General features: G+C 37.2%; 1 long non-coding RNA gene across 1 annotated transcript in view; it reads right to left on the bottom strand.

The window, feature by feature from the left end:
• LOC105371069 (uncharacterized) overlaps nucleotides 1-12,171 on the bottom strand; it is a 236,274-nt gene that overhangs the window by 11,242 nt on the left and 212,861 nt on the right. Inside the window, exon 4 of the long non-coding RNA NR_197430.1 lies at nucleotides 6,529-6,671. This is a non-coding gene — a long non-coding RNA (uncharacterized LOC105371069). The remainder of the gene's footprint in view (nucleotides 1-6,528; nucleotides 6,672-12,171) is intronic.

The raw sequence follows: 12,171 nt of genomic DNA on the forward strand, positions 1-12,171 counted from the left end.
GATTGTGGTTTATTTTAGGATTGGCTTGTCAGAAAACATTTGACTTGGGAGAACATGCATTATCGTAAGACTTCTTGGTGGATGAGAAGTTATATATGCCACCATAAAGTGGTCCGAGCTTTAGGCAGGCATGCTTTGTTTGGAATGCACACATCATTATAAGAGCTATGACCAGGAAAGGAACAAATAGGTCAGCAGCATGGTGTATGGAAAGGTAATCGAACTGGGATGTAGATAGAATTTACACCAATTCACTGAGTCACCGGGGAGGATTGCCTTCCCCTCAGGCTTTACTTTCTTCATCTCACAAGTGAGATGGGTTAGCAAATAACGTCATCTCACAGATGAACTCTTGTGGTGTTGGCATTGTGTTGAGAAATAATCCGAGGTCGTATCCTCACTCTTCAAGAAATAATTATGCAGCTGTTTTACAATCACTTGTCATAGCCATTGGAAAGGGCGATCAGTAGCCCATCTCTTTTGTTTGCTATTCCTGGAGAAGATGATATTTATAATCCCTGCTGGATGGAAATTTCCATTATTCTAAACACTTGAATATTTTCCTTGATGTTTGAGACTAGATAATTATTTTTCACCTCTCACAATCGTTTTAAATATTATCTACAAAAATCTTCTCTCTTTATTGGTATGAGAACTAAACACAGATATAAAACCTGGAGCCTCTAAGCATTCCATTTGCCAAGGGTTTCAGCTTCCCTCAACTGTGAGTTCTGCTCAGTGAACTCTGCCAAACATGAATAAACTACAGTGTGCAGAATCACTGCCTCTGGTCTGCTTGTGTTTTTCTTCCTCCCTCAGACCTGATCACATTGTCCCTTTCTGAGATTCCACAGCTCCCACAGATGCCAGAAAACCATGTCTGAGCAGCTGGAGAGTTCCTGGGGCAGGGTTTTGATCAAAGCTGGTGGCTTTTCAGTTCATTGTGTTCTCTTCAGCAAAGCTGTCACTGTTCTTTTTCTTTTACGTCTTTTAAAGGAAGTACTTCTTTGCACAGCAATTCAATTCAACAAACACTTTCTAGTGTCAATTGTGGGTAAATGTTGTGCTAAGTGCAAGAGAAAAATAAAGATGAATAAGACATAGTCTATGTCCTAGAAGGGGTCACAAGTTAGTGAGGGAGACAGACTTGGACACGACTAATGGTGATGAAATTCTGGCTGTGATAAATACCTTAATACTTTGTTCAAAGACAGAACACTATGGGAAAAGGGAACAGAGAAAAACATGTTCTGGGTGAGTAGGCATTGGGTACGTTTCCAGAGAGGCTATTTGAGCTTGGCAGTGAAGGAGGAATACTAGGGGGGAAAGATGAATGTTTTCCAGTGAAAGTAAGAAACTTATGCAAAAATGTGAGGATAGGGAGTGCATGGTGTGTCCAGAGAACAATGAATGAATGGTTCGAGGTGGCTGGGATGCCGTCTCTGTGTAACAGCAGCAGGGATGAGGTGGAGGTTTACATCAGAGTCACAATTTTGAGGGCTTTAAATAGCATTCTAACCTACTTTAATGTATAAAACATATATTGAAGCCCAATATGTAATAGGCATAGTGCTCTAGGCTGAGCTGGGAGGATGCTACACAGAGTCCCTGCTCCTAAGAGACAGGAATAAAGGAGGTGCATATACAAAGTGCTAATCACAACTCAATGTGTGATAAATTCCCTAATGCAGGTATATAAAGGGGTATTGTAGCAAATAGCCAATATCTAATGAAGAGTAGAGAAAAAGCATTGATGAATAAATGGGAGACAGGGAGAAAGATTATTCCAGGCACTGGGTCTAGAAAATAAGACTTAAATTATGATAGATTTTAAAACTTTTGGAAAATTGAGATACATTTAGTATATGGCCAAAATGTAGACTAAATGGGGAACAAGTGATGGAAGTTAAGGCCGATAAGCTTGTGGCTTAGTCTGAATGAATGAGGAAAATAAGGAATGCTTAACTTATTAGAAACTGAATTGTAAATTTTAAAAATGCAATTGAGTATTTTATAATACTAATTTAAAGTGCCCATTATAGGCCAGGAGCAGTGGCTCAGGCCTGTAATCCCAGCACTTTGGGAGGCCGAGGTGGGTGGATCACCTGAGGTCAGGAGTTCAAGACCAGCCTGGCCAACATGGTGAAACCTCGTCTCTACTGAAAAATACGAAAATTATCTGGGCATGTTGTGGGGACCTGTAATCCCAGCTACTTGGGAGGATGAGGCAAGGAATGTTGCTTGAGCCCAGGAGGCAGAGGTTGCAGTGAGCCGAAATCGCAACACTGCATTACAGCCTGGGCAACAGAGTGAGACTCCATCTCAAAAATAAAATAAATAAATAAAGTACCCATTATAAATGGTCCATGATTTGTAGTGTACAATCATCACTGTACATATACTACTTCTTATTTTAAGTTTCTACTTGTATTGAGTGGCTGTATGGATGGAAGATATGTTTAGAAAAATGGAATTTTGTCTTTAATGCAGAAAACATTTTGATCTAGATCGGTACTGTTGAATAAAACTTACTTTGGTGATATAAATGTTCTATACTGTGCTACACAACATGGCAGCCTCCAGGTGCCTGTGGTTATTGCGAACTTGAAAGATGGTAATACAACTGAAGAACTGAATGTTTTCTTGGACTTAAGGCTACTTAATTTAATTTTAAAATTAAATATCTACATGTGCCTAGTGTTTATCATATTGGATAGTACAGATGTAAATGAAGAAAGTATATAAAACCTGAAATATAAAATTTGATAGAAATATATTACTTAGAGCCCCATTGCAAGAATAAACAAGTAAGACAACTTATTGGAAGGAACTATTGTCAGGTAGGAATGCCATTCACTCTTTCTTTCTGGAAGTTCTGAAATCAAGTAGATGAAAAGAGAGAAAAAGAGAGCCTGGGAGTTATCTCTCCCTAGAATTAGCTTCTAGTTAGAATTGTTGAAAGAGATAGATTGAACAGAGAGGGGTTTGAAAATAGTAGAAATGAAACAACAAATTTTAAGACAAAGTTTAACCCCCAGCCTTAATATTGTTACCAGTAAAGCATGCCTAGTTTCTTGACATCTTGACCAAAGAATTGGTCAAAACGCACAAAGCAAGGAAAGAATGAAGCAACAAAAGCAGAGATTTATTGAAAATGAAAGTACACTCCATGAGGCGGAAGCAGGTCTGAGCACAGGGGCTTAAGAGCCCAGTTACAGAATTTTCTGGGGTTTAAATATCCTCTAGAGGTTTCCACTGGTTGCTTGGTGTACACCGTATGTAAATGAAGGGGATGAGGTAAAGTTACAAAGTCCTTTACTCAGCGTACACCCTAGGTAAATGAAGAGGATATTTCCTGTCATAGCTTAAGTGTTTCCATTTGATTTAGCTGTAGGAAGTCCTTAGGTTTCCTGCTCCAGACCCTATTCTCCTGCCTCAATACAAGCGTCTTGATCATTAACAGAATGTTCTTATGGAAATATTACACAGCTCAGGGTATTTAAGGAATAAAAACTTGTGCCTGAGATAAACGTATCTTGTTTTTACTTACTGGTATCCATTTCCCACTTTTCTGATAGCACCATGCTTTTACTTTGGGGACTTTCCATTTCTACATTCTGTGTGGTCCTAATAGAGCTTTAAATCTGAAACCCTGAGCTTGATGGCCCAGGATTGGTAAAAATGCTTTACCAGCCTGAACTCAATAACTGGCTCGGGGATAAACCAAATGAGCCAATTAGAAACTTCCCTGAGACCCTTCCTAGCTGGTAGATTTTTCTCTGAAACAGAAAGCTAAAAATACCATAGATTTGGAGTTTCCACTGATAATCTTGCAGTTTGTCTTCTTGGTTATTATGCAAGGAGCCAAGAAGAGGTTAAAATGGGAACAAAGAAAGTCCTGAAGGTATAGTTCAAATCCCTATGTCTAGCTGTACCCAAATCTCCCAATCCATTCCCCTGGGAATTTAAGAATTCCTAGTATAGGAGTTAATCAATTTACTCCTTTACTTGGCTTGAGTTGGGTTTCTGCCATTTGCAACCAAAAGCCTGTATGGATACACTGTCACACAGAAGTACAGGTCTCAAGATTTGATAGCTGTTTTTCCATTAATTAAATCTAAATATCTGCCTCTGACAGGTGAAATTATGTTTTTTAGTGAGTAATGAAGAATTTTGAAGCAGAGTAATTTTTTTTCTTATTTTTTTTTCTAACCAATTAGAGAGTAAAAGAAAAATGAAAGAGAACTTGGACTTTTCCAATATTTCAGTAAATGTCATATAAATGATCTTGAAATAATGCGGTCTGGGACGATGCCATCTACTTTAAAATTTCAAATTCAAACACAGAGTCTCTGGTAATTATAACCACACTAACACCATCAAATTTTGCCACTGATATGTGGGAGGATTAAATTCTGAAATAGAAGTTAGAATCAGAATTTGCCATTCTGATAAGACAATCAGCCGTCTTGTCAGCCTTTTCTCCCATCTCTCATCCACCCATATTGAGGACAAGCTGAAGACTACTCAAAATTCTAAAATAGGTGGTCTCGAGTGATTGGCATTTATCTTGGGAATAGGCACAATGTCCATATTAGCTTAGAGATCTTCGAATGTGGTCTGTAGATTGTCAAATATGCCCTGAGGTCCTAAATGTAAACAAGAAACTCCAAGTGAAAATTAACTTTATCCAAATAAATAAACTTTTTTTTTTTTGAGAAAGAGTCTCACTCTGTTGCCCAAGCTGGGGTGACATGGTGTGATCTTCGCTCACTGCAACCTCTGCCTCCCAGGTTTAAGTGATTCTCTTGCCTCAGCCTCTGGAGTGGCTGAGATTACAAGTGTGCACCATCACGCCCAGCTAATTTTTGTATTTTAAGTAGAGACGGGGTTTTGCCATGTTGGTCAGACTGGCCTCGAACTCCTGACCTCAGGTGATCCACCCGCCTCGGCCTCCCAAAGTGCTGGGATTATAGGCGTGAGCCACCATGCCTGGCCCAAATAAATAAACTTTATCTATAGAACAATATAATGTCTATGAAAATAAAAAAATTCATGGCATTTGTATGGTGTGACTATATTTGCATGATGAGGATGGGAGGAAGTATAGAGTGGTGACGACAGAGCGAGAGAACACAACAATTAAAATTACAAACAGGGGTGGGTGGTTACCCAAGGATGACTACTATTAGGTCTAAGCAATGGGGTGCAATGCTGATCAGCAGAGCTATGGAATAGCATGATTGGAGAGAGAGAGAGAGAGAAGGAGAAAGAGGAGAAAAATACCAGGTTGTGTGATGTGGATGAGGGAAGCTATTTAACAAGAGAAGTCAGATTATAAAGGATCAAAAATGACAGCAAAGGAATAGAAAAGGAAGGTTATGAAAGTGGCTCTATAAAAATAGAGAAGACAGTACTTCCTCTTGGACAGTGGGTTGAAGAGAGAAATGTTTTATATATACAATCCAGAATTAGTAATCGATACCATGGTGATATGGGATGTGGGTTCCAGAGTTAAATAAGTGGGTTATTTATCTATGCCACAGAGCAGAGGGTCTCACCCAGGGCTATTGTGTCCACTAAGGAACATCTGTCAGCGTCTGGAGACATTTTTTATCACAACTGGCAGAAGGGGTTGCTACTGCCATCTAGTTGGTAGAAGACTGGTAAGATGCTAAACATTCTACAAGGCAATGATTCAGCCCAAAAATAAGCGTGCTGAGATTAAGATTCAGCTCAAAGATGTCACCATAACAACATTTCTTAAGCTCTTTAGAACTAGGTTCCCTTGACTGCAGAGTAACAACAACAATACCTGCTTTTTAGGCATATGGGGATTTAATGAGCTAATAGGTGCAGAGAGCATGGTGCTGGTAAATCCTCACACACACCATCATCATTGTTGTTTTTATCATTGTGTGTGATGGACCAACATATTCACTGAGATAGGATTCAAGGGTAGGGCTTAATGCTAATGAGAAAGAGGATGGCTTTAGGGGTTACTTGTCAGGGTCTTTGATTTCCTACTTCTCCTTTGTGGGGAGCAGTTGGGGCTGAAGAGAGAGGAGATGACCTTTAGAAATAGGTTTATTTTTTCCTTCAACTCTGGAAAACCCCTGGGTGTCCCGTTTTCAGATATAGAAATGCTTCGTGCAGTGGGGCTTTTGTTTGTTTGATCATTTTGTTTACTCTCAGTAAGACTAATCAAGTCTTGATCTCAGACCTGGAAAAGTGTATAAATGTATTTGTAAAGAGTACCTTGTTCTCTTTACAGATAAGATAAGAAAGATAATTTGGCAAGTAAAAGTCTTCTCTGACATACAAAAGATTTAAATCTATGTCAAAAGTTTGAAACAATGAGCATAAATATTCAAATCCAAGAGTTCATGTCAATTTTTAAATGTTTGCTATTTTCATTATGCCATCAACTTCATTGCTAACTTAAAAAATGTTTTTGCCCATTTCATTATTTAAATCATTCTAATTTCAAGCTGAAACTATAATCAAACAAGGAGAAGGGCTGCTTACCTTTACCTAGGTTAGAACGAAAGCACTCCTGACAAGAATGATTCCCAGGCAATGGAGCTGATTCTATTTCCACTGCTGTTGAGAATGATCTGTTTTGTGGCAGGACAGATGGGTAGATAGATATTCCTTTGGGGTACTTCCAACTGAAGGAGAAAAGCAGATTAACTAATGAATATATATATATATATGTATGTGTGTGTGTGTGTGTGTGTGTGCGTCTATGTGTGTATGTATATGTATACATATAATGGATATATATATCTGTTTTATATATATATATGTGTGTGTGTGTGTGTGTGTGTGTATATATATATATATATATATATATGGAAATAGACAAGATAGTACTTACCCTGAACAGTGGGTTGAAGAGAGAAATGTTTTATATATATGAAGATTCAGAATTATATATAGTCATTAGTTTTATATATATAGAAACACATTTAGTATATTATATTTATAATTTATATTAATATAAATATAAAATATATGATACATATTATATTTATATATTATATATAAATAATGGGTTGATATATTGACTATATATTATATGTAACTAATGGATCTGTTATGTATGTATGGAATACATATGTATGGAATTTCATACAATTCCATATGTATATAATACATATATTCAATATATATCCATTAGTTATATGTATATATAGTCATATATATAACATATATAGTCATATATATTACTAATGGATATATATTGAATATAAATATTTACTATATATAGAATAGATATTATACAGTCATGTATATATAACTAATGGATACATATTTGAATATATATATAATGGATATATATATTTGAATAATTGCATGTGTTATACCTGCACATTTTTCTATTTTCCAAGATGGATAAAAAGAGATTGAATAGATCTTAGGAGATTGATTTGTTGTCAGCCTGTAGCAAGGACTGTGTGTGGAGGGTGTGTGTGTGTGTGTGTGTGTGTGTGTGTGTGTGTGTGTTAAATAAAAATTGCCTGCAAAAGAGCTGGGGAGAGGTGCACATTTGAAAGATTCCTACTCTAGTCAGAGTCACTTAGCCCCTTAATCCCTTACATTGGCAGCTGAATCCCAAGGATGTGTTCTGGTGCACAGGAGAGCAATAAACAAACACAGCTCAGGGCTCCAGGCATCGTGGAAAAAAATAATCGCCCATTTCTTGTAAATAGATTGCAATAAAACAATAGTGACGGAACATTTGGTGGAAGAGAGAATCAACCAAGAGGAACTCTGACTTGGTGGCCTTTAAGCTACAAAAACAAACACAAGAGCATTGAAATGGACTCGAATGAATCCTTTAAAGACGACTAGCTTTTGAAGGTTTATTAATCAACCTCTTGGACAGACTACCAGATTATTTTAACTAGAAAGAAGGTGAAATCAAGTAATAAAAAAATTGTTGATTGACCAAGCAGGAGATGTGTGTTCCAACATCAACAATTAAACTTTTTTTTTTTTCCTTGCCTTATTTTCATGTCTCTGCGGTGGTCAGATTCTAGGTCCGCCTTTCACAGACCAGTTAAAAGGAAAATGAAAAAGCAATGTTCTTTGTCGTGGACATTTGTGGCAGCCTTTTCAGAGTTTCTTTGCCTTCTCCCTTCCTGACCATATCTGATTTGCATTTGGGGACCCAGGTGATGCTGATGTACCCCTTCTTTGGAAGGGTGTGGGCTGGAGCTCATAGCTTAGGTTAAATCCATTAAGTCATTACGGTCCCTCAGGCCACCACGATTGTTTCATCCATTGCATGGGCTCTAATCTGGTCTCCTTTGTCATACCAGCCAATATATTCTCCTCATAATTAAGTCAGTTCAGATGAGTTTTCTATTTTTTGTCGTTTAAAAACACTATTATTTTAAATTCAGTGGTAAAAGTGCAGGTTTGTTACATAGGTAAAATTGTGTCATGAGGGTTTGTTGTACAGATTATTTCATCACCCAGGTATTGAGCCTAGTACCCATTAGTTGCTTTTCCTGATCCTCTCCCTCCTCCCATTCTCCACCCTCTGAAAGGCCCCAGTGTGTGTTGTTTCCCTCTATGCGTCCATGTGTTCTCATCATTTAGCTCCCACTTATAAGTGAGGACATGCGGTATTTGGTTTTCTATTCCTATGTTAGTTTGCTAAGTATAAGAGCCTCAAGCCCTATCCATGTCCCTGCAAAGGACATGATCTCATTCTTTTTTAAGGTTACATAGTATTCCACAGTAAATATGTACCACATTTTCTGTATCCAGTCTACCATCGATGAGCATTTAGGTTGATTTTATGTCTTTGCTGTTATGAATAGTCCTGCAATGAACATACACATGCATGTTTCTTTATAATAGAATGATTTCTTTTCCCTTTGGGTACATACCCAGTAATGGAATTGCTGGGTTGAATGGCATTTCTGCCTTTAGGTCTTTGAGGAATCGCCACACTGTCTTCCACAATGGCTGAACTACTTTAGACTCCCACCAACAGTGTATTAGCATTCTTTTATCAATAACCCAAAACATCTTGACTGGCATGGGTGGTCCCCTATCCCAGTGTCTCAGTTGCTCAAGTTGATACTCCATGCGTTAGTTTTCTACTGCTGTGACAAATTACCACAAACTTTGTGGCTTAAAACAGCATGAATATATTATCTTACAGTCTGAAGGTAAGAAGTCTGACATAGTTCTCACTGAACTAAAAATCAAGGTGTTGGCAGGGCGGCACTTCTTGCTGAAGGCTTGCTGAAGGGTAGAATCTATTTCCTTGGCATTTCATCTTCTGGAGGCTGCCCACGTTTTTGGTCTTTTCCTCTGTCTCCAGAGTGAGCAATGCAGTATCTCTCTGACTCTGATTTGCTCCTCACATCTCTTTCTCTGACTCATTTCTTCTGTCTGTCTCCTTCTTTCTTTGTTTTGTTTGATTGTTTGTTTTGTTTTGTTTTTTGAGATGGAGTTTCACTCTTGTCGCCCAGGCTAGAGTGCAATGGCGCAATCTTGGCTCATTGCAACCGTCGCCTCCTGGTTTCAAGCAATTATCCTGCCTCAGCCTCCTGAGTAGCTGGGATTACAGGCATGTGCCACCACGCCTGGCTAATTTTGTATTTTTAGTAGAGATGGGGTTTCTCCATGTTGGTCAGGCTGGTCTCGAACTCCCTACCTCAGGTGATCTGCTCGCCTTGGCCTCCCAAAGTGCTAGAGTTACAGGCATGAGCCACCATGCCGGGCCCTCCTTCTTTCATTTTTAAGAATCTTGTAATTAAATTGGGCCCAACTAGGTAATCCAGAATAATCTCCCCATCTCAAGGCCAGCTGATTAGCAACCTTAATGCTATCTACAAACTTAATTCCATTTCTCTTTATAAGGCAATGCATCCATAGTTCCAAGGAATGTACATGGGCAATTTCGGGACACCATTCTGTTTACAATGTTTAATTATTTGGGAATTTCTTTCACGAAACTTTTCCATGTTTACTAAAGTGGAGATTTGGAGTCAAATGGAGTTGATGTTAGATCTGGTAATTATGAAGTCTGTTATTTTGACATTGCCACTGTCACATGTCTATATTGAAGTGCCTATGTAAACGTTATTTTAAAAATCAGGCTTTTTGTATATATTTAGAGGGTACAAGTGCAATTTGTTACACAAACATATTGCATAGTGGTGAACTCTGGGCTTTTAGAGTAACTATCACCGAAATAGTGTACATTGAACTGATTCAGTAATTTCTCATTCCTCACTTCTCTCCAACCCTCTCACTTTTCTGAGTCTTTGATGTCTATTATTCCACACTCTCTGTGTGTACACATTATTTAGATCCTACTTATAAGCAAGAACATGTGGTATTTGACTTTCTGTTTGAGTTGTTGATAACAGCCTCCAGTTCCATACATGTTGCTACAAAATACATGATTTCATTCTTTTTTATGGCTGAGTAGTATTCTATTTTTTATATATATATAGCATATATATCTATATATATCTCTATATATGCTCTATATACTGTATATATATCTATATATACATATATATCTATATACTGTATATATATCTATATATACATATATATCTATATACTGTATATATATCTATATATACATATATATCTATATACTGTATATATTAATACTGTATATATAAATACTGTGTATATATGCACAGTATTGAAATATTGTATATTTTCTTTATCCAGTCATCCATTGATGGACAGTTAGATTGATTTCCTATCTTTGCTATTGTGAATAGTGCTGTAATCAACATACAAGTGTAGGTATCTTTTTGTTATAATGAGGTACTTTCCTTTGGGTAGATACCCACCTGTGGAATTGCTGGATTAAATGGTAGTTCCATTTTTAGTTCTTTGAGAAATCTCCATACTGTTTTTCATAGAAGTTGTACTAGTTTACATTCCCACCAACAGTGGATGAGTATTCTCTTTTTTCTGCATCCTGGTCAACATCTGTTATTTTTTGACTTTTTTATAATAGCCACTCTGGTATCTCACTGTGGTCTTAATTTGCATTTTTCTGATGATTAGTGATGTTTAAATTTTTAAATATGTTTAAATATGTTTGTTGGCCATTTGTATGTCTTCTATTGAAAAATGTCTGTTCATGGTTTTTGTTGTTTTTGTTCGATTGTTTAAGTTCCTTGTAGATTCTGGATATTGGTCCTTCGTCAAATGCAGAGTTTGCAAATATTTTCTCCCATCCTGCAGGTTGTCCATTAAGTCTTTTGATTTTCACTTATGGAAATCTAATTCTCCCAGCACCATTTATTGAATAAGGAGGTCCTTTCCCCAATATATGTTTTTGTCTACTTTGTCAAACATCAGCTGACTGTATGTATGTGACTTTCTGAGTTCTCTATTCTCTCCAATTTATCATGTCTATTTTGATACCAGTATCATGCTGTTTTGGTTACTATAGCCTTGTAGTATAATTTAAAGTCAGATAAGGTGATGCTTCTGGATTTTGCTTAGGACAGTTTTCGCTATTTGGGCTCATTTTTGGTTCCATGTGAACTTTAGGATTGTTTTTCTAATTCTGTGAAAAATTATATTGGTATTTTGATAGGAATTTCATTACACTTATATTAGGTAGTTGCAAAAGTAATTGAGGTTTTTGCCCTTGAAGGTAATGGCAAAAACCGCAATTACTTTTGCATGAACCAAATAGATTCCTTTGGACAATATGGTCATTTGAATGATATTGACTCTTCTGATCCATGAGCATGGGATGTTTTTCCATGTGTTTGTGTCATCTACAACTTATTTTATTTGTGTTTTGTAGCTTTTCTTGTACAGACCTTTCACCTCCTTGGTTAAATGTATTCCCAGGTAATCTTTTGTTTGTTTATTTGTTCGTTTTGTAGGTATAGTAAACGGGATGACTTCTTGATTTGATTATCAGCGTGATCATTATTGTTGTATAGAAGTGCTGCTGAGTTTTGTACATTAATTTTGTATTCTGAAACTCTGAAGTCATTTATCAAATCTCGGACTCTTTTGGAGGAGCCTTTAGGGTTTTTTTAGGGAGAAGGTAAGAAAACCAGTAATAGGGTGAGGGTGAGTAATGGGATGGACCATAAAATGATCCGCCATGAGTAGGGTCAGGGCCAGGCTATATGGAACCTGATGGTTATAGAATTT

This window comes from Homo sapiens, chromosome 16 (assembly GCF_000001405.40).
Source record: "Homo sapiens chromosome 16, GRCh38.p14 Primary Assembly".
Classification (NCBI taxonomy): Eukaryota; Metazoa; Chordata; class Mammalia; order Primates; family Hominidae; genus Homo; species Homo sapiens.